At 49.4% G+C, this 22,665-nt stretch overlaps 1 protein-coding gene across 8 annotated transcripts in view, besides 3 other annotated features; it reads right to left on the bottom strand.

The window, feature by feature from the left end:
* The window catches only part of SIPA1L3 (signal induced proliferation associated 1 like 3), a 301,162-nt gene that overhangs the window by 127,280 nt on the left and 151,217 nt on the right, over nucleotides 1-22,665 (bottom strand). The window lies entirely within an intron of this gene.
* Nucleotides 6,156-6,655: an enhancer, noted in NCBI's record as "H3K4me1 hESC enhancer chr19:38565075-38565574 (GRCh37/hg19 assembly coordinates)". NCBI's record gives its function as "activates a minimal SCP1, AML or CMV promoter by ChIP-STARR-seq in primed H9 embryonic stem cells {active_cell/tissue: H9 hESC(primed)}" and the evidence as "EXISTENCE:reporter gene assay evidence [ECO:0000049][PMID:30033119]".
* Nucleotides 9,604-10,103: an enhancer, noted in NCBI's record as "H3K27ac hESC enhancer chr19:38561627-38562126 (GRCh37/hg19 assembly coordinates)". NCBI's record gives its function as "activates a minimal SCP1, AML or CMV promoter by ChIP-STARR-seq in naive H9 embryonic stem cells {active_cell/tissue: H9 hESC(naive)}" and the evidence as "EXISTENCE:reporter gene assay evidence [ECO:0000049][PMID:30033119]".
* Nucleotides 10,104-10,605: an enhancer, noted in NCBI's record as "H3K27ac hESC enhancer chr19:38561125-38561626 (GRCh37/hg19 assembly coordinates)". NCBI's record gives its function as "activates a minimal SCP1, AML or CMV promoter by ChIP-STARR-seq in naive H9 embryonic stem cells {active_cell/tissue: H9 hESC(naive)}" and the evidence as "EXISTENCE:reporter gene assay evidence [ECO:0000049][PMID:30033119]".

The following is a 22,665-nucleotide window of genomic DNA, read 5'->3' as shown; positions in this document are numbered from 1 at the left end:
CTCCAACAACCACTAACTATTTTCCATTCCCATTTCATCTATTCACCCAGCCTTGTGACCTTCTTTGTTTCTGATAGAATGTTTTAGAGTAAACCCCAGACATCATTTTTTTTTTTTTTTGAGACAGAGTCTCGCTCTGTCACCCAGGCTGGAGTGCAGTGGCATGTGCTTGGCTCATTGCAACATCCACCTCGAAGGTTCGAATGATTCTCCTGCCTCAGCCTCCCAAGTAGCTGGAATTCCAGCATGTGCTACCATGCCCGGCTAATTTTTCTTATTTTTAGTAGAGACGGGGTTTTGTCATATTGGCCAAACTGGTCTCAAACTCCTGGCCTCAGGCAATCCCCGCCCGCCTCAGCCTCCCAAAGTGCTGGGATTACAGGCATGAACCACCATACCTGGCCAGACATCAGGTCATTTCACCCATAAATATTTTAGCTTGTATCTCTAGTACATAAGATTTAAAAAAAAAAATCACAGTAACATTATCATACTCATCTACATTAACAAGAATTCTTTAATGTCATGCACTACCCTGCCTGCATTACATTTCCCATCATTGTCTCGCAGGTGTCTTTTGTGAGCTGGTTTGTTCGAAATCATCCTCTGCTTATGCAGGTATTTTCTCAAGTCTCCTCTACTCTACAATGGCCACCTTCCTTTATTTTGATGCTCTTTACTTGTTGAAGGAAAGGGGTCACCTGTCCTGTGGATTTCCCCACTTTCAGGATCCCTGAGGTGCCACTTAACATGTTCCTCTGCCCCCTGTATTTCCTGTGAACTGGTGGCTTCATGCAGAGGCCAGACTATTGTCCACCTGCTCTGTTGTTTGCTCAGCTCAGCTACTCTGCCAGAAAGGAAGTGAAAATGACAGATGAGTCAACATGAGCACCAGTGGAGTTTGGGGAGGAAAGCTGCAGAAGGAATGTCTCTAGAAATCCATGTGGTTACTGCAGACTATGACTGGGTAAATCAGAGCCCATCACTTTTTCACTGAGATCTCCCCAGTGACTACTTACTGCATTAAAACACCATCCAAACTCCTTCCCCTGCTCCACAAGCCCCGCAGGATCTGGCTTCCATGTCTCTCCCCATCCCTGACTAAGCTCTGATCATACTGGCCTTCTTTTCTGTTCTGATGCACCAAACCTTATCCAGGACATCTGATATCCTTCCTCAGTCCTTCTTGGGGCTGGTTCCTTCCCATGATGTCAGTTCTTCCATGGGGACTTCCGGCTGGGCACGGTGGCTCACACCTGCAGTCCCAGCACTTTGGGAGGCCAAGGCGGGTGGATCACTTGAGCCCAGCAGCTCAAGACCAGCCTGGCCAACATGGCAAAACCCCATCTCTACTAAAAATACAAAAATTAGCCAGGCATGGTGGCATGTGCCTGTAGTCCCAGCTACTCAGGGGGCTGAGGTAAAAGGATCACTCGAACCCGGGAGGTTGAGATTGCATGAGCCACGATCACACCACTGCACTCCAGCCTGGGCAACAAAGCGAGATCCTATCTCAAAAAAAAAAAAAAATCCCCAAAAACAAAAACAAACACAAAAACCTTCCCAAATCACCCTATAGAGACAGAGAAGCCCGGTCTTCTGGAAGCCTTTCTTAATTACCCACTCTACTTTCTTCCAATTTTTCTTAGCAGTTGTTCGTTCTGTCTACTGGCTAGGTCCACCACTCAAATGTTGGCTCCAGAATGGCAGGGATGTCTGTGTTGTTCACTGATGCATTCCCAGTGCCTAGAACAGTTGAGACGGAGTCTCGCTCTGTTGCCCAGGCTGGAGTACAGTGGCGCGATCTCGGCTCACTGCAAGCTCCGCCTCCTGGGTTCACGCCATTCTCCTGCCTCAGCCTCCTGAGTAGCTGGGACTACAGGTGCCTGCCACCATACCTGGCTAATTTTTTTGTATTTTTAGTAGAGACAGGGTTTCACCGTGTTAGCCAGGATGGTCTCGATCTCCTGACCTCATGATCCGCCTGCCTTGGCCTCCCAAAGTGCTGGGATTACAGGCGTGAGCCATCTAGAACGTCCAGGACGTTCGTTTAGTATTATACATATGAGTGAACAGATGGCCTCTGCCTAATTGGAGGTGTAAGTACCTCCTGATTTGCAGGCCCCTGGGGAAGGGAGTCTGTGCTTCTGTCCAGCATATAAAACACCCTGCGGGGTCACTTCCCTTTGTCTCCACCTTGAACTTCTAGAAGATGAAAATCCTGCTGGAGAGGAAGGGGAAAGTGGGTCGCCGTCTGTGATGGAAGCTGTTGACTGCCCAGCAGCCGTGCCCGCTCCCTCCTGCCAACGGAACTGATTTTGCTCAGGGCAGTGGAGTGCTGCTTTGGGCCACGCACTTGGTTCAAGGTGACCTCTAACTTTTCTTTCCCTGGGAATCTAGAGCTGGATGCAGCCGTTCTTGATCAATGGCTATTGGAGCTTCCTGTGTGAGAAAGTAGCAGGCCTCTTCTGCGTGTATGTGTCTGTGTGTGTGTGTCTGTGTGTGTGTGCGTGTCTCTGTGTATGTCTGTGTGCGTGTCTGTGTGTGTGCGTGTCTGTGTGCGTCTGTGTGTGTGTGCATGTCTGTGTGCCTGTGTGTGTGTGTGCATGTCTGTGTGCCTGTGTGTGTGTGTGTGTGTGTGTGTGTGTGTGCATGTATGCGCATGTGTAGGGGGGCTTTTCCTAATTTATGCCCAGTTATGGAGCGCACTGGCAGAGATCACAAGGGAAGCTCAAAGCAGATTCAAGGAGCAAATAGCAAGGGGAGCCTGAAGCCTCTGAAAAAGTGAGCACCAGAAGAGGGCAGGTGGAGAGTGGGGAGCAAGGGGGAGCCCCTCTTCCTGGTGCCCCACGAGAACACAAACGATCCTGAAGATGTTGCCGGGAGGCAGCACAGGGATGGGCTACAGAAGAGAGAGGAAGCTGGAAAGCCCTCAGGGTCGAGTTGCCTAAGGGAGACAGGAGAGAGGCCAAGAGGAGCCTGCACTGACCTGGATGGCAGGGCATCTTCTGACAATCAAGGCTTGCGGGAGTATGGATGTCAGATCATCTGATTTTCCAACAGAAATCAGAAATCTAGAGTTGCATGTAACATTTCCCAATTGGAAAAGCAAAAATATTGGCCAGGCGCAGTGGCTCATGCCTATAACCCCAGCACTTTGGGAGGCCGAGGTAAGTGGATTGCCTGAGGTCAGGAGTTCGAGACCAGCCTGGCTAACATGGTGAAACCCCGTCTCTACTAAAAATAGAAACGTTAGCTGGGTGCGGTGGCGCACACCTGTAGTCCCAGCTACGTGGGAGGCTGAGGCAGGAGGATTGCTTGAACCTGGGAGGTGGAGGATGCAGTGAGCCGAGATTGCTCCACTGCACTCCAGCCTAGGCAACAGAGTGAGACTCCATCTCAAAAAAAAAAAAAAAAAAAAAAAAAAAGAAAAAGAAAAAGAAAAAAGAAAAAACAACAGAAACAACAACAAACTATCATGCAGAGATGATCGGAAGAATTTTCAAAAAACTAATAGTGCTTGCCTCTGTGTGTCTATCCCCACCACTCCCAGGCCCTTCCTCTGCTCCATTTTTCTCCTTAGCACTTATGAACAGGCTTACTTCTTTTTCTTATTCATTTTTATTATTATTTTTTTTAGAGACAGGGTCTTTCTCTGTTGTCAAGGCTGGAGTGCAGTGGTACAATCATAGCTCACTATAGCCTCAAACTCCAGGGCTCAAGTGATCTTCCTGCCTCAGCCTTCTGAGTAGCTAGGACTACAGATGCACGTCACCATGCCCAGCTAATTTTTAAATTTTTGGTAGAGGTGGGGTCTTAGTATGTTGCCCAGGCTGGTATCAAACTCCTGGGCTCAAGTGATCTTCCCACCTCAGCCTCCCAATGTACTGGGATTACAGGTGTGAGGCACCGTACCCAGCCTCCTCAATGACTTTCTCACTGGCATCTGGGAACTCATCTGCTGCCTCTGGTTGGCAGAAGCTGCTTCTCCTGCCATCTTGACATTTTTTAAGCCATACTCTTTCTAAAATTATCAAACCATCCTTTGCTGGCATTAAATTCCCCAGCTTGAGATCCTCCTTCTTCCTTTTGCTTTAGGTTGCCATGTAATGACTTCACTTTTTCTCGAAGCAAATTACAATCTATAGGTATGCCTTATAGCAATCCTGTACCCACATAGAAGCTGCATTTGCAACACGAGATAAAAATATATTTTGTAAACAGTGCAAGGTTTTTGTGCCTGCTGGCATACAGGCAGTGACAGCTTCATGAATTTCCTTTTCATTTTTTACGATGGTCCTCACACTGGATTCATTTATCTGGAAATGGCGGGCAACTGCAGCTGCAGATCTCCATCGATGGCACATATCAAGCAATTGCATATTTTCTTGTAATGTTATGACTTTTCTCTGCTTCTTGGGACAACTTCCAGCATCACTAGTGGCACTTTGTACGGGTCCCCTGAGGTTATTCAGGGCTTACAGTATTGCACTAAACACGATGAAAACTAGGTGAGAACCTCTAGGGATCATTTTTTACTGCGATGTGCAATTTGCTGGAGAGACAAACTGCTCATGCGGAGATGATGAGTGTCACACGGTGTTTCAAATGGATACTCACAACACTTGAGCTCACCGCAGTAGCAACAGGAGGTGGTCGCGAAACTATGACGGTAGTGCAGTGTGTACTGCAGTTAATTTCATGCAGTTATGATTTAATTCTGCATGTTTATGTTTGTTTACATTTCTCTTGGCTTGGCAGTGTGTTTGTGTGTGTGTAAGTTTTGATAAATTTTAACTTTTTAGAATGCATTTGTGTATATTTTATGGTAGCAAATGATAAAATAGAAAAATAGACTAATGTACATATATTTTATGTATTCATGACATACCTAACATTTTATTTTTATTTATTTATGTATTTACTTATTTATTATTATTATTATTTTTTGAGACAGAGCCTTGCTCTGTCGCCTAGGCTGGAGTGCAGTGGTGCGATCTCAGCTCACTGCAATCTCCGCCTCCCAGGTTACGCCATTCTCCTGCCTCAGCCTCTGGAGTGGCTGAGACTACACGCGCCCGCCACCACGGCCAGCTAATATTTTTTGTATTTTCAGTAGAGACGGGGTTTCACCATGTTAGGATGGTCTTGATCTCCTGACCTTGTGATCCGCCTACCTCGGCTTCCCAAAGTGCTGGGGTTACAGGCGTGAGCCACCGTGCCCGGCCTTAACATTTTATTTTTTAAAAAATATTTTTAGGCTATGTGGTTCACCTGCAAGATCTTTTCTTTTCTGTTTTTTTTTTCTTTGAGACAGAGTGTTGCTCTGTCACCCAGGCTGGAGTACAGTGGCACAATCTCGGCTCACTGCAATCTCTGCTTCCCAGGATCAAGTGATTCTCCTGCCTCAGCCTCCTGAGTAGCTGGGATTACAGGTGCACACCACCATGCCTGGCCAATTTTTGTATTTTTAGTAGAGACAGGGTTTTACCATGTTGGCAAGCCTAGCTCAAACTCCTGGCCTCGAGGGATCCGCCAGCCTCGGCCTCCCAAAGTGCTGGGATTACAGGCGTGAACCACCGCACCCACCCCTGCAAGTTCTTTTCAAATAGTTGCAAATCTCTTTTTTTTTCTGAGACGGAGCATCACTCTGTCACCCAGGCTGGAGTGCAGTGGCGCCATCTCAGCTCACTGCAACCTCCGCCTCCCGGGTTCAAGCGATTCTCCTGCCTCAGCCTCCTGAGTAGCTGGGATTACAGGCATGTGCCACCACGCCCAGCTAATTTTGTGTCTTTTGTAGAGACGGGTTTTCTCCGTGTTGGGCAGGCTGGTCTCGAACTCCCAACCTCAGGTGATCTGCCTACCTCGGCCTCCCAAAGTGCTAGGATTATAGGCGTGAGCCACCACGCCCAGTAAATAGTTGCAAATTTCTAAAAAATTTTCCAATATATTTATTGAAAAAAATTCATGTATACATAGATCCACGCAGTTCCAACCCATGTTGTTCAAGGGTAAAATGCACTTCCTAAGAACATTAACAATAAAAACCTCAATGAAGCCGGGCACAGTGGCTCATGCCTGTAATACCCGTACTTTGGGAGGCTGAGGAGGGAGGACTGTTTGAGCCCAGGAGTTTGACACCAGCCTGGGCATTACAGTGAAACCCCATCTCTACAAAAAATTTTAAAACTTAGCCAGGCGTGGTGGCGTATGCCTGTAGTTCCAGCTATTTGGGAGGCCAAGGCTGCAGTGGGCTGTGATTGTGCCACTGCACTCCAGCCCAAGTGATAGAGCAAGACTCTATCTCAAAAATCAAACAACAACAACAACAAAACACCACATACACACACACAATGAGGGTAAACAAAATAAGTATGTGTGGGTCACACTTCAGCAGGGGTTGCTGGTTTGCCAGAGAAAAGTGCAATTATTTTATCTATGGTGTTTATTGTCTCCACTCTAAACTGTCAGTTACAGAATGGCAAGACTGTTTGCTTGAGAGCCTGAACCCTGCCCCACAGTCCGCTGTGCTGGGCACCAGATCCCAGGTCAAGCTGGGATGATGGCCCGCCTGAGGGCGCTGCCTGTCCTCAGCAGCCCAGCCTGTGTTGTGGCTCTGCCTTCAGAGTGCAGAGTGCGGAGGGAGGATTAGTCCTTTGAGGCCACACTTAAGGCTGGGTTGGGAAAACCAGTGGCCCAGATGCGACCCTGACTTGCTTATGCAAGCACCTCCCGACAGATGGGCTTTGCTGATGGCATTTGTTTCCAGCTCAGTCAGAAACCCTCAATCCATTCTGCTCCCTTCTGTGCACACACACAGATGTTCTTGCAGGCCTTCGTCTCTCTGAACAAATCCCTTCTCCTAGCAGCTGCAGTCGAGTCTTCCTGTGACATTCAGAGGCTGAGTGGCACCCGCAGCCTCTGGGACTCAGAGGGTGCACACTGGTCTCTTTCCAGCTGTCTTCTACCGAGCTCCTCCTCCCTAAAAGCACTTGGACCTTCCCGATGGGGAACCCCCGTGATGAGAGAAGCACAGCATAGGCAGGAACCAGACTGCCTCCTGGGCTCAATCCTCGTGTGTCATGGACGGGTTATGGAAATAGTGACTCAGTTTCAATCTGTAAAATGGGTATAATACCACCTGCTCTTACTACAGTTCTGTTGTGTATCTTTGGCAGAAGTGCTTCCCCTTTCCCCCCACAGAAGCACAGTTGGAGTGGGCACAGGACGTGGGCTTGGTCGGCCCAGGGTCCTCTCCTAGGACTCCGTGCGAGGTTTCTAAGAGCATGTGAGGCTGGAAAGTGTCCTTGCAGGGGCAGGCACAGTGGACCTGGCTTCTCCTGTGCAGTGACTTTTGCTGGGGACCCCTGGTTTCTTCCCTCCAGGGCTTCCTTGGCTCCCTCCCTGTTTTCTAAGATTGCTCCTCTGGCCTCGTGTTCATTCTGTACATCCTCAGTGAATTGTGATTCGGCCACAGACTGCCAAGCGTGGCTTCTGCTGCTGGCATCAGAGGACCCCGAGTGACACACGGTGCTGTGTGAAGGAGGGCAGCTGGGGAACTGTATATGGGGAAAACTAGGGCAGCCTGGGAGACAGCAGCAAAATGAGGAGTGAGTGGCAGTGGGAGACAGTCAGTTGGGATGTGTTTGGCTGCGAGTAACGGAAGACTATCCAACGGTGCTTTGCACGGTGAAGACATTTAGTCATCTCATGTCACCAGGAGGCCAGATATGGCGGCTCCAGGCCTGGTGGGAAAGCTGGAGAGCGATGTGAAGCATGTCCCCCCATTCCCTCTGCCTCCCTCCTGTGCTGCAGGATTGAGCAAGTCTTCTGGCTTGCTGCGTCACGGTCACAAGCTGGTGGCCACAGCCACACTTCCCACTGAATCATGGGCAAAGGGGAAAGATAGGAATGGTGAGGGCACCGGTCTGACCCTAATCAGGAAGGAGAATCTTTCCCAGAACATTCCCCTTGCTGCAATCCTTTCTTTTATGTCCCACTGGCTAGAATGTGGATACACGGCCACTCCGGTTGCAAGGGAAGCTGGGAGAGCCAGCATCTGTAGCCATCCTGATTGCCTCTGGGCCAGTGGGGACGCATCAGGGTCTGTTAGAAGAGCAGGCAACCAGTGATGTATCTGTGGGTGTAAATGCTCCCAGATTGCCCCTGCGACAAGCAAGCAAGCCCCACAGCCTTGGTGTCTTGGCTCCAAAAGGCCCAACTCTGTGAGGGCTGCAATGTCTGCCAGAAGCTCACAGGACACAGCATAGGGAAACACAAGAGCCCTCCAATGTGGACAGTTGTGGTTTACTTTCCCTGTCGCCAGGACTCCTTTTTCCAACAGTCCCGACTTCCCTTTGGGAGCCTCCCCTCTCCAATGGCCACCCAATGGGCTAGAGGTGGGGCTCCTTCCCCAGCTCTGGAGCAACCCATGTGGCCTGATCAGAACCAGTGAGACCGTGATGTCTTTACCAGGAGTGCTGGAGCTGAAGGCTGCGCTTTTCCCTTTAACCCTAAGTCTGAGAAGATGTGAGGGATGGAGTCGCTGCAGCTGTCTCGTAACCATGGGAGAAGAACTATCTGTGAAGGGGACTGGGAGTTAGAATCTGGGGCTGTAGTCATCATTTGAGTCTCTGCATCAAGTTGGACACAAAGTCAGCCCTATTCCATTTCCCACCACTGGACATTTTAGTTATAAAACAAAACAACAATGAAAACATACACAAAAGCCAGTATCTACGACAGCAACTACCATGAATAGAATCCTTCTATGGTCCAGGTCCTTTCCAGAGCACTTCACACCTGTCAATTGCTATGTGTTAACCCTTTCAACAACCCCATGAGGTGGGTATCATTATTACCTCCATTTTACAGATGAGGAAAGTGAGGAGCAGACAGAGGAAGTAACTCATAGCCACATGGCTATGAGTTGACACAGTGGGGACTCAACCCCAGCCCCTTCTTACCTCAAGTCAGACAGTCCTGAGTTCAAGCACCAGCCTTCCTTGCAATCACAGGCAGCGCCTGGACCTCTGTGATTCTCATTTAAACGTGTGTCGCCAATGCGGAAAACATCTCCAGCTCCCACTGCTCTTCTGAGTTCCAAACCCCCCTACCCACCTGATTACTTGACATCACCACTTACACATCTCACATGCACTGCAACTGAACATTCCCAACCTGAACTCTTGATCACTCCCCATCCACAAAATGTGTTCCTTCTTGGGACAGGCGGGATGAGCTAAGCTATGCTGCAGTAACAAATGACCCCAGATGCTCAGGGGCTTTCACAACTGAGGCTTGGTTCTTGCTCACATTTCCTGTCCATCACAGGCTGGCTGAGAGCCCTGCTCATGCCAACTTCACTCCCAGCAGACAAAGCAGCCCTTACCTGGGACCCTGCTGATCACAAAGGAAGGAGACAGGGTTGAACCACGCACTCCAGCCTGGTTGCACAGTGAGACCCTGTCTCTAAAAAAATTCTTTTCTAAATAAATATCTGATTGGGCACAGTGGCTCATGCCTGTAATCCCAGCACTTTGGGAGGCCGAGGTGGGCGAATCAACTGAGGTCAGAGGTTCGAGATCAGCCTGGCCAACAAGGTAAAACCCCGTGTCCACTAAAAATATGAAAAAATTAGCGAGGCATGGTGGTGCATGCCTGTGGTCCCAGCTACTTGGGAGGCTGAGGCAACAGAATTGCTTGAACCTGGGAGAGGGAGGTGGCAGTGAGCCGAGATCACGCCACTGTACTCCCGCCTGGGCAATAAAGTGAGACTCTGTCACTACATAGATAGGTAGGCAGGTAGGTAGGGTAGGCAGGCAGATAGATAGATAGATAGATAGATAGATAGATAGATAGATAGATAGATAGATAGATAGATAGATAAAACAACATAACTATTAAATGACTGGATGGATGACAACCTCACTCAGGACCAGGGAGCACTGGCTCAGTTGGGGTCTGTGACCCAAGGCAAGCAGGGCCTGCTTGGTGCCCGAGTGTGCCCTTCCCTGGGAAGCAGCACGCCCAAGAAGCTGAAAGCAATGCTTGGAGATAGCTTGTAGGGGTGGGATGGGCTGTCCTTTCACAGGCCTTTGCTTAGAGGTAGAGGGACCCCCTGGGTGTTCAGGGCTGCCCTGATGTGCTCCAAGCATCTCCCTTTCAGGGAAACATGATCTAGTCACGGCCATGGAGGCTAAGTGGGGCTCAAGCACTCTGGAGGGCTCAGGGATGTGGCATCAAGTCCGAGGGTTCCTCTCTAAGGCCCAGGTGGAATGAGGACTCCTCCAGGCATGCATCCAGTGACTCAGCAGTTTCTGGGCACGTACAAGTCATTTGTTTATCCAGGAAGAACTAGTTAGTCCTTAAAATGCATCCATTCATCCATTCACTCACACAACAAACACCTACCATGTTCTTATAAATCCCTCAAAAAAGTTCTTCCAGCCAACAAAGCCCTAAAAACATATTCATTTATTCACCATTTCCCAGTCATGTATAACTCATTCATTCATTCTACAAGCACCAAACACTCGAAATCCATTCATTTACTCAATCTATTTCTACTACACGCCACTGCTGTGGGTGCTAAAGAAAATCTCTGAGCAGGACAGACTGTGCCCCTGCTCTCATGAATGGACCTCCAGTAGAGAAACGCCAGAGAAATAAAATAGAATTTCCAAGGGTGGCCAGCATTGTAAAGGTCATAAAATGGCTGGGTGCAGTGGCTCATGTGTGTAATCACAGCACTATGGGAGGCTGAGGTGGGAGGATCGCTTGAGCCCAGGAGGTCAAGGCTGCAGTGAGCTGTGATCACGCCACTGCACTCCAGCCTGGGTGACAGAGCAAGACCCTGTCTCAAAAATAGATAGATAGATAGATAGATAGATAGATAGGACTGAAGATCACTATAGTTGGGAGGGGGTCAGGAAGACTCCTTGAAGGGTGGTGTCTAAACCAGGATCTGCAAGAAGAGAGGGTACCTGCCGTGGATGAGCAGGGAAGCTGGGAACAGCCAGTATCCAAGGCCAGATGGGGATGCTCGGGGGACTGGTCTTCCTGCCAGCATACAATAGAGGTACAGAGGAGCTTTATAAAAATATAGGTGTCTGGGCCAGGCATGGTAGCTCGTGCCTGTAATCCCAGCACTTTGGGAGGCCAAGGCAGGCAGATCACTTGAGGTCAGGAGTTCAAGACCAGCCTGGCCAACATGGTAAAACCCCATCTCTACTAAAAATACAAAAAAAAAAAAAAAATTAACCAGGTATAGTGGCGCGTGCCTGTGGTCCCAGCTACTTGGGAGGCTGAGGCAGGAGAATCGCTTGAACCCAGGAGGTGGAGGTTGCAGTAAGCCGAGATCGCACCACTGCACTCCAGCCTGGGAGACAGAGCAAGACTCTGTCTCACAAAAATAAAAAATAAAAAAAAATATATAGGTATCTGTCCACACCCCACTCCCAGAGATTCTGAATTAGCTGGTTGGGGTGGGGCGCAGGCCTGAGTGCCTCTTAAAAGCTCGGCAGCTGATTCTACTGTGCAGTCTTAGGTGAGGACAGAAGGAACAGAGAGAGCAGAGAGAAGAGGGTCTGCCTCCGAGCTCGGAGAGGCTGTACATCCAAGTGGGCAGGTGGGTGATGGGAGCCAGGACATGAGATACAGCAGGCCCAGCAGGGAGGCTGGAGCGCAGGTGTGGTTGGGGAGGACCAACTGTCAACAGGAGTGGACGCTGCTCAAAGAGTCACGTATGGTGGCAGTTATAGGTATGAAGGGCACTGGTGACCTTTGCAGGAGTTATTTCAGGGGTTCACTGATTCAGAGCGCCTTGTCCTCGCCTCCCTCCGATTGTCCCCCCATGCTGTCTGTCCCACTAAAGCCAGGCAGAATTCCCCCTTTCCTCCCTCTGCTGAGCTCCCGGGGATGTACATGCACCCTTGATATGGGACTTAGCCCACTGGATTTTTAAGCCTCTGAGCATCTTCTGTCTTCCCCAGACTGTGAACAGATGCATGTCTGGGGTGGACTGGGATCTAACATATTTGTTCTCACATGTGGGCGGGGCAGTGGAGAGGGATAATACGGTGATGACGGTATTAAACATAAGGTCAACACTGATGAGCTCTCCTGATGCGCCAGATTCAGGGCTACACACTGGCGTGTGTTAACTGGTGTGTTCTAACAACTGTATCAAGTAGGGGCTTCTTTTCCTTTTTAAATAAATTTCTCTTCTCTTTTTTGAGACAGGGTCTTTGCCACCCAGGCTGGAGTGTGGTGGTACAATCATAGCTCACTGCAGCCCTTAAATTCCTGGGCACAAGCAATCTTCCCACCTCAGCCTCTTGAGTAGCTGGGACTACAGCTGTGTGCCACCACAACCGGCTAATTTTTTACTTAAAAATTTTTTTTTGTAGAGATGAGGTCTCACAAAACCTCAAACTCCTGGCCTCAAGTGATCCTCCTGCCTTGGCCTCCCAAAATGCTGGGGTTACAGGTGCAAACCACCATGCCCTGCCAAGTAGGGACTTCCATCATGACCATCTTACAGATGAGGCAAAGGTTACGAGGGGCAGGTGGGATTCAAACCTCAACAGTCTGCCTGCCACCCCTTTGCCCTGTGCTCCAAATAAGATGAAATCGTTCAAATGAGTGTGCTGTGGGAATACGTGAATGACGCTGACTGTCTTTAAAATCCATTCATAAGGACAAAATTCCAGCAAGTCAGCAACAGCTCAGCAGATTGCACGTTAAGAATCTGATTTTTCGGCCGGGCGTGGTGGCTCACGCCTGTAATCCCAGCACTTTGGGAGGCCGAGGCGGGCAGATCACGAGGTCAGGAGATCGAGACCATCCTGGCTAACACGGTGAAACCCCGTCTCTACTAAAAAATATGAAGAAAAAAAATCAGCCGGGCATGGTGGCGGTCGCCTGTAGTCCCAGCTACGCGGGAGGCTGAGGCAGGAGAATGGCGTGAACCCAGGAGGTGGAGCTTGCAGTGAGCCGAGATAGCGCCACTGCACTCCAGCCTGGGCAAAAGAGTGAGACTCTGTCTCAAAAAAAAAAAAAAAAAAAATCTGATTTTTCCCCTCTATGTCTTCCCCAACCTTACTGGGAGTTTGAGCATACATGGGACCACTACAGAGCTCCCTCAGGAAATAAGATGGATGAAAATCTTAGAAATCTCATTAGCTAGTGCCATGGCAGAGACTCTGCTCCACTGGCTGGAAGAGCAACGAGTGGAGTCTCAGCCACGGCTGTGAAAGCCAGCACTTCCACATTTAACGTCAAAGAGCCCAGAGGACTAGTGTTTCTTTCTTTCTTTTTTTTTTTTTCAGACTGAGTCTCACTCTGTCATCCAGGCTGGAGTGCAGTGGCATGATCTCGGCTCACTGCAACCTCCACCTCCGGGGTTCAAGCGATTCTTCTGCCTCAGCCTCCAGAGTAGCTGGGATTACAGGCTCGCACCACCATGCCCAGCTAATTTTTGTATTTTTAGTAGAGATGGGTTTTGCCATGTTGGCCAGGCTGGTCTTGAACTCCTGACCTCAGGTTATCTGCCCGCCTCGGCCTCCCAAAGTGCTGGGATTACAGACTTGAGCCACCACGCCCGGCTGAGGATTGGTGTTTCTAAAACAAATCTCCTCCAGCATCCAGAAGGAGCCCAAATTCCTACCCAGGGACCCAGGGCAGTCCCCACAGGAGAGAGGGAGGCCACGTCCAGCTGTTACATTCAAATTGGCAAGGCTCCCACACAGGTCAGGGTTCCTGCATGACCTGTTCTGCTTTTAAGGGTGTTAAATCAGTAGAGTTTTCTCCCCTTGGGGGAATAGAAAGAATAAGTTAGAACTGTGCATCAAAATTTTAAATTACTCTGTCGCCTGGTCTGGAGTGCAGTGGTGTGATTATGGCTCACTGCATCCTCAACCTCCTGGGCTCAAGTGATCCTCCTGCCTCAGCCTCCCAAGTAACTGGGACTATAGGGGTGTGCCAGCACACCTGGCTAATTTTTAATTTTTTTTTGTAGAGACTGGGTCTTGCTACGTTGCCCAGGCTGGTCTTGAACTCCCGGGCTTAAGTGATCCTCCCATCTTGGCCTCCCAAACTGCTGGGATTACAGTTGTGAGCCATCACATCCATTCTGCTTTTAAGGGTGTTAAATCAGTACAGTTTTTCCCAACTAGGGAAAGTCAAGAGAGAGAGCTGGAATTATGCATCAACATTTTAGGTGTGCATTCTATTTATTTTATTATTTTTATTTTTACTTTTTTGAGATGGAATCTTGCTCTGTCGCCCAGGCTGGAGTGCAGTGGCGTGATCTCGGCTCACTGAAACCTCTGCCTCCTTGGTCAAGCAATTCTCCTACCTCAGCCTCCTGAGTAGCTGGGATCACAGGCATGTGTCACCATGCCCAGCTAATTATCGTATTTTTAGTAGAGACAGGGGTTTCACCACATTGGCCAGGCTGGTCTAGAACTCCTGACCTCAAGTGATCCACCCGTCTTGGCCTCCCAAAGTGCTGGGATTACAGGCGTGAGCCACCGCGCCTGGCTTCATTCTATTTATTTTAATCCAGCAATTCCACTTCCAGAAATCTGTCTCTCTGATAATAACACCAGTCTACGTCAAGAAAGGTACACGATGCTTTGACTGTTTTACATTGCTGTAATACAGAAGAACTGAGAACAGCCCAAATGCCCACCAGCACAAGAAGGGTTAAGTGAATCCGGGTGCCTCTATTCCAGGGAATACAATGTATCTGTACAAAAAGAGCTAGGCCAGGCCAGTGGCTCAGGCCTGTAATCAATTTCAACCCTTTGGGAGGCTGAGGCAAGAGGATCCCTTGAGGGTGGTAGTTCGAGACCAGCCTGGATAACATAACGAGACCCTATCTCTACAAAAATTTTTTTTTTAAAATTTGCCAGGTGTGGTGGTGCATGCCTATAGTACCAGCTACTCAAGAGGCTGAGGCGGGAGGATCACCTGAGCCCAGGAGTTCAAGCCTGCAGTTAGCCAGGATCTCCTCAAGAGATCAAGCCCAGGCAACAGAGCAAGACGTTGCCTCAAAAATAAATAAATAAATAAATAAATAAATAAATAAATAAATAAGAGATCAAGCCCGGGCAACAGAGCAAGACGTTGCCTCAAAAATAAATAAATAAATAAATAAATAAATAAATAGATAAATAAATAAGAGATCAAACCCGGGCAACAGAGCAAGACGTTGCCTCAAAAATAAATAAATAAATAAATAAATAAATAGCAAGGTAGAGCTATGTGTAATGCATGCAAGATGCCCACGCAGCCCCAAGGGAATGAACACAGCTTATACTTAGCGTGTGCTCACTGCACGCCAAGCATGGTGTGAAGTGCTTTTAGTGCAGTAACGCATCACGCCTGTAATCCCAGCACTTTGGGAGGCCAAGGCGGGTGGATCACCTGAGGTCGGGAGTTCGAGACCAGCCTGGCCAACAGGGTGAAATCCTGTCTCCACTAAAAATACAAAAAAAAAATTAGCTAGGTGTGGTGGCAGGCACCTGTAATCCCAGCTACTCGGGAGGCTGAGACAGGAGGAATTGCTTGAACCCAGGAGGTGGAGGTTGTAGTGAGCCAAGATCGCACCACTGTACTCCAGCCTGGGCAATAACAGCGAAAGTCCATCTTAAAAAAAAAAAAAAAAAAAAAGTCAGCATGTGAGGGAAAACATGAGCAGAGTGAGAGTCACCCCTTGCAAGGCCCTTACCTTCTAGAAGTCAGAATGGGGAGAGACTTCCAAGCTGCACAGTTAGAGCTCTCTACTTGAGGGCCCATGGAGTCTGAACAATTTGCATGTTTCCAAAGGCAGAGTCCTCCGTGGCCTGGCGACAGGCTCCCACGCAGAGCCAATGAGGGAAGGACAGTGCACCCCACCTTGTGTTCACATATTCCCCAGGGAAATAGAGGCTGTAATCACCCCAAATACTTAAACTGAAATGTCTAATTTTAATTTTGCTACCTGGTATAACTGAACTTTATTTATAGGTTAAATGTTCATATGATTACACGCCTGCGTAGAGAGATGAAATTTTTAAAAAAATAAATGGGTGAATACCTTCACAGCTGCCTCTCTCACTTATCACCAGATGCTGGAGGTCTTCCCTGGTGTGGTGGCTGCAGCAGAGTGGATAGAAGCAAAGTCTATCTTGGTTCAATTCCCAGCTCCATCACTTAACTAGCTAGACCTTGGGCAGGCAACCTAGTCTCTCTATGCCTCAGTTTTCCCATCTGTAAAATGGAGATAATAATACAGCTTAACTCTTAGGAAAGATGTGGGTTAATAAATGCCATGGCTTAGAATATCCCTGGCCTGCAGTGATAAACGAGAATTGGCTATTATCATTTTTTCTTCTTCTTTTTTTGAGACAGAGTCTGGCTCCGTTGCCCAGGCTGGAGTGCAGTGGCGCGATCTTGGCTCACTGCAACCTCTGCCTCCCAGGTTCAAGCAATTCTCCTGCCTCAGCCTCCCAAGCAGCTGGGATTACAGGCACCCACACCACCACGCCCGGCTAATTTTTGTATTTTTAGTAGATATGGGGTTTTGCCATGTTGGCCAGGCTGGTCTCAAACTCCTGACCTCAGGTGATCTGCCCGCCTCGGCCTCCCAAAGTGTTGGGATTACAGGCGTGAGCCACTGTGCCCGGCCTTCATTTTTTCTTATATAATAATACTTTTTAAAAAATCTCAAGCAAACCAAATGTGACCTGGCAAGGAACCCTTGTTCCTCTGGGCTCAGGGGCCAGACAGCCCAGGGTGGCTCACCTTGAGCAAAGGCTCCTTTCTGGCAGCCCCAGTGCCAGGGCCGGGTGGGGCGCCCCTCTGAGTCTCTGTGGGGTTGGCTGGGTTAAGGGAAGCTGTCGTGACCTCCCCTGAAGCACATGTGGATGAAGCAGCTTGTTCCAGTTCTGGGCACAGTCCTATTCGCTCTAATGAGCCTTTGAAATGCAGAAGTGGAATGGGATGCTTCTTGGAGTATGGGCACAAATGCCAGGCCCACCCAGCAGCTACAGCCATGTTTGTAGAGTGGGGATGATGGGATGCAGTCAGGCGAGGGGCCTGAAAGCGCAGGTGAGAGGCCTCTGTTGTTGGTGTGGCCCCTTCTGGGTACTTAACTGGGGGCATCATCAGGGCTCCAGGCTGCCCTGCAGGGATCTCCCCGGCTCCAGCCAGGCTCATGATCAAGCCGCAGGCCCTGGCGTGGCTGTGCTGCTTCTTTTAGTGTTATTATTATTATTTTTTTCTCAGTGAACAGCTGCTGCCCTAAACGGGCTGAGTGTCCCCACTATCATCATGGGGGGAACACTGGGGCCCCACAGGGGCTGCTATGACCCAGCCTGCGGGCCTGCTCCCGTGGGCCACTGCCCGGGCTAGACTGATGGTTAAATACTTAGTACGCGCCCTCCTCCAGGGCTCACTCCTGTGGCCAGGCCAAGCCTCCTTTAGAAGACAGTGTCTTGCCAGCACGGAGCCTGACCTGCAAACTGATCCCAGCTAATTGCCACTGAAACCTGCTAAGACCGCATCTGTTGGGCCTGGAGATTAAATCAATATTCGACAATCTTGATTAAATAGAGCCAGGGAATCCTTGTAAAAGAACATCTGTTAAAGTCCCACTCTTTCCATCCTGCCGCTGGGGGCCGGGCTGAGGGTGGCTCCGGCTCTGCTTATCCTAACCTGAGGATGGCTCTAGGCTGAGGGGATGGGGGGCGGCAGTGGGGCCCACCCGGAACACCACAGCCAGGAAGGCTCCCTGCCGTGGGAAGGCTGGCAGGGATGGGAGCTGGGGGCCGGCGGGGGCGGTGCAGGTGCTGGACACACACAGCTGGGCCTTGTTATCCAGGTTGGAGTGGGGAGGGGGGTGGAGGGGAAACCCAGCTGCTGGCAGTAATCATCCATCATCCTAACTGGCCCCTGACCCAGGGCTGTCGGGGAGCCAGGCCCTGTGCAGAGCACATGACACCATAACACAAACCATTGCACTGAAGCTTCTAATCACCTGCTACTGTCACCCGTGCTTCACAATGGGGTTCAGAGAGGGCCACAAAGAGAAGGGGAGGAGGAGCCGGAATCTGAACCTGGGATTGGCTGACTCGAGTCTGCCCTCGTGACAACTCATGGGGCCACCCCATTTGAGAACATCTGTTGTCAAAAATGAGAGCAGGCCGTAATCCCAGCACTTTGGGAGGCCACGGCAGGCGGATCACCTGAGGTCAGGAGTTCAAGACCAGCCTGACCAACATGGTGAAACTCTGTCTCTACTAAAAATACAAAAATTAGCCGGGTGTGGTGATGCACGCCTGTAATCCTAACTACTCAGGAGGCTGAGGCAGGAGAACCGCTTGAGCCCGTGAGGCAGCAGTTACAGTGCGCTGAGATCACTGTAGTGCCACTGCACTACAGCCTGGGCAACAGAGTGAGACTCTTTCTCAAAAAAAAAAATAATAATAATAATAAAATGAGAGCAAAAACTGGCATTTACAGAACCATGAGCCCAAGTGGGCATCCTGCCCTGTGGTCAAGCTCCCTAAGCTGCACATAGCAATGGCAGCCCCCACTCAGGACTGGCCTCAAACCTGGCTCCACTGAGCCCACACAGCATCCTGAGGAGGAAGGCCCTACTGTTCTCCCCACTTTACAGAAGGGAACAGGGAGGCTCAGAGCAGCATGTTCCTGTTGAAGAGCACCCAGTGAGGGAAAGCAGAAGAGGGACTTGAACCCAGGCAGGTCAAATCTATGGCCATTAAAACCACTGTCATCTCTAAAGATTGGGGATAGAGCCATGAACACCGGGGCACTTAATAAATGCCTGCACTCCACTCCTGGGTGACTTAAGGCAGAAATTAGGCTTATGCTTTGGAGCCAGATTGCCTAGGATCAAATTCTGGCCCTAATATGTACCAGAGGGGGTAAGTGCCACCTCGTGAGACTGCTGGTAGATCCAGCAAGATGATCCCCATAGGGCACTCCCATACTAAGGGGCACATGGCAAGCACGCGATACATCCTTTCAACAGCACCTGCACTCACAGTGCACTCATCGGGGTGAGGGGTGGGGAGCAGCAATCCAACACCCAAATGCCAGCAAGCCACCATTCACTGGTCTATCTCCAGCATCCAAAACAGGGCCATCAACAGGGTGAATCTTCCACTAGTATTTTCTGAATCCATGAAAAAAAAAAACAAAACTCAAAAATCCCAAACCAACCAGATAACCAATTAGCCAGCCAACTAGATAACCAACCGACCAGTTAACTAATCCATTACCCAAACAGCCAACCAGCTAGTTAACCAGCCAACAGGTCTCATGTCTCAGGGGCCTGTTCCCATCTCTCTTCATCTCCGCCCCATCTCTGTCCCATGTTTCTTGTCCCTGCTCCATCTCTCTGTACTCCTGTCCCCCTACCCCTCTGCATCCCTGTACCTGTCTCTCCACGGCCCTGTCCTTGTCTGTCTCTCATTCTGTTTTTCTCTATATCTCTTGCACACGTGTGCACACAGATGGCCAGGGCCCTGCACATTTCTGGCTTCTGAGTCACAACCCCACGTCAACTCACCACTAAGGATGTGTCCCAGGCAGCTTCTGCCTGGCCCCTCTGGTCACCTCCTCCCAGATTCCAAGTTCTCAACATCTGCAGGGAGGGAGGGAAGCTAAGGAATTGGCCAAGATTATTATAGAAAACAAAAGAAAGAAAAAGAAAGGCTGGGCACGGTGGCTCACACCTGTAATCCCAGCACGCTGGGAGGTCGAGGCAGGCGGATGACTTGAGGCCAGGAATTCAAGACCAGCCTAGGCAACATAGCGAGACCCCATCTCTAAAAAGAAAAAAAAAATCAGGAGGCAGATACCAAACCATGTGCTAAATAAAAGAGTCACTGGCATGTGCCGCATTGTCCTGGCCCCTGAGTTCCCTGTATTCCAGGCAGGGTCTGCCTGGCCCATTCTTACCCCACCCTGAAGTGCAATATTACAAGGGATTTGGTTACTTTAATCAGAGAACAAACCTAGAAACCCCAAGAAGTACTAATTCGGAAGAAAAGCATACTCCCACATTTAAGAAGTTAGTACTTAAGGCTGGGTGAGGTGGCTCACGCCTGTAATCCCAGCACTCTGGGAGGCTGAGGCGGGCAGATCACCTGAGGTCAGGAGTTTCAGACCAGCCTGGCCAACATGATGAAATCCCGTCTCTACTAAAAATACAAAAATTAGCTGGGTGTGGTGGCACACCCCTGTAATCCCAGCTACTCGGGAGGCTGAGGCAGGAGAATCACTTGAACCCGGGAGGCAGAGGCTGTGGTGAGCCAAAATCAGGCCATTGCACTCCAGCCTGGGCAACAAGAGCGAAACTCTGTCTCAAAAAAAAAGTTAGCACTTAAAAATCTTTCAAGCTACATATTTTATACTTTTATCTACCTACCAAGCTCATTGCAGAGCAAAGATCTGGGAGGCAGAGGCCCAGAGGTAACAGTGGTTTCTCAGGGAGGGGAGCGACGGTGTGTGCCATCTGTGCATTCATTCTGTCCTCACCACTGGGGCTCCCAAACTGTCCAAAGTCACGCACCTCTGCTCAGGCATAGCCGCAGCCCACCTGTACTATTATTTACTGAACGTGATCCTTTCAACCAACTCACTGCCTAAACCCTTAAGAATATCCATGTTGGATTCGTTTTATTTTTTTTCTAATACTCATTAAACAAAATGTACAAATATTAGAACTCATAAAGCTTGTCTGTTTATCAAGGAAAATGGGCTTTAGGACCAGAAATGCATTAACTCCAAACTAGAATGCACCTCTCGGACATGATACTAAGTGAAAAAGCCAGACAGAACAACATATACAGTTCACAACTGTTTTTATATAAAGTTCAAAACTAGGTAAACTGGAACCACGTTATTTAGAGTTGCTCATCTAGGGAACACAGCTTTCACAATGCCAGGAAATGGTGACTGTGAAGTGCAGAGAGCAGTTGCTTTTAGAAAGAGGGTTCTGGTCACGTGCGGTGGCTCATGCCTGTAATCCCAGCACTCTGAGAGGCTGAGGTGGGCGGGTTACCTGAGCTCAGAAGTTCGAGACCAGCCTGGCCAACATGGCAAAACCTCGTCTCTACTAAAAGTACAAAAATTAGCCAAGTGTTGTGGCAGGTGCCTGTAATCCCAGCTACTTGGGAGGTGAGGCAGGAGAATTGCTTGAACCTGGAGGCGGAGGCTGCAGTGACCGGAGATTGCACTACTGCACTCCAGCCTGGGTGACAGAGTGAGACTCTGTCTCAAAAAAAAGGAAAAAAAAAGGGTTCTGGTGGCCAGAGCCCATGGGGGTTCCAGGCTGCCAGCAGGTTCTCTTTCTGGACCCGGGTTACCTGAGTGCTTGCTTTGGAATTCTTCGGTAAACTGTGTATTCACGTTTTACATGCTTGTCTGTATGTATGTTCCATTTCACAATAACAGAATTTTAAAGTCTTTTGTATTGCATGAGTTATTTTTAAACAGTGAGATTTTACTCTTGTATGACATAAGCAACTTTAAAATGTATACAAATGTATTTTAAAATCTCAGCTAACATGGTGAAACCCCATCTCTATGAAAAATACAAAAATTAGCTAGGCGTGGTGGCAGGCACCTGTAGTCCCAGCTACTCAGGAGGTTGAGGCAGGAGAATCACTTGAACCTGGGAGGTGGAGGCTGCAGTGAGCCGAGATAGTGCAGCCTGGGCAACAGAGCGAGACTCCGTCTCAAAAAAAAAAAAAAAAAAAAATCTCAGCTGTTTGCTGGGCATGGTGGCTCACACCTGTAATACAAGCCCTTTGGGAGGCTGAGGCAGTGAGCATAGCTTGAGCCCAGGAGTTTGAAACCAGCCTGGGCAACAGTGAGACCCCATCTCTACCAAAAAAAAAAAAAATGAGCTGAGTATGGTGACATGCACCTGTAGACTCAGCTACTCAGGAAGCTGAGGCGGGAGGATCACTTGAGCTATGATGGTGCCACTGCACTCCAACCTGGGTGACAGGGCAAGACTTTGTCTTTTTTTTTTTTTTTTTTTTGAGACAGAGTTTCACTCTTGTTACCCAGGCTGGAGTGCAGTGGCGGGATCTCAGCTCACTGTAACCTCTGCTTCCTGGTTTCAAGTGATTCTCCTGCCTCAGCCTCCCCAGTAAGCTGGGATTACAGGCATGCACCACCACGCCTGGCTAATTTTCTATTTTTAGTAGAGACAGGGTTTCACCATGCCAGCCAGGCTGCTCTAGAACTCCTGACCTCAAGTGATCCACCTGCCTCAGCCACCCAAAGTGCTGGGATTACAGGCGTGAGCCACCGCACCTGGCCAAGACTCTGTCTTAAAAAACAAAACAAAACAACAAAAAACTCAGCTGTTTGATCACCCTCTGTGCCACCCCAGTCACTCTCATGCCATAGCTTGAGATTCACTTTCTCTCTCCTATAAGAGATTTCCACTCCCAGAACCTGCAGGGCCACTTCGCCTGGATGAACACAAACATTGCGGGCTGCCTGGGGGAATGTGCACTCCCTCCGAGCCCAGAGGGAGTCAGGGAGAGCGGGGCACCCTCACAGAGGCAGTTTCAGGACAACTCTCCATATGTGACAGCTGGGGACAGAGGGGAGGCGCCTCTACCCACCTGAGAC

This window comes from Homo sapiens, chromosome 19 (assembly GCF_000001405.40).
Source record: "Homo sapiens chromosome 19, GRCh38.p14 Primary Assembly".
Lineage (NCBI taxonomy): Eukaryota > Metazoa > Chordata > Mammalia > Primates > Hominidae > Homo > Homo sapiens.
Note: the sequence above shows the minus strand (reverse complement) of the source record. Positions and strands in the feature narration are given on the sequence as shown.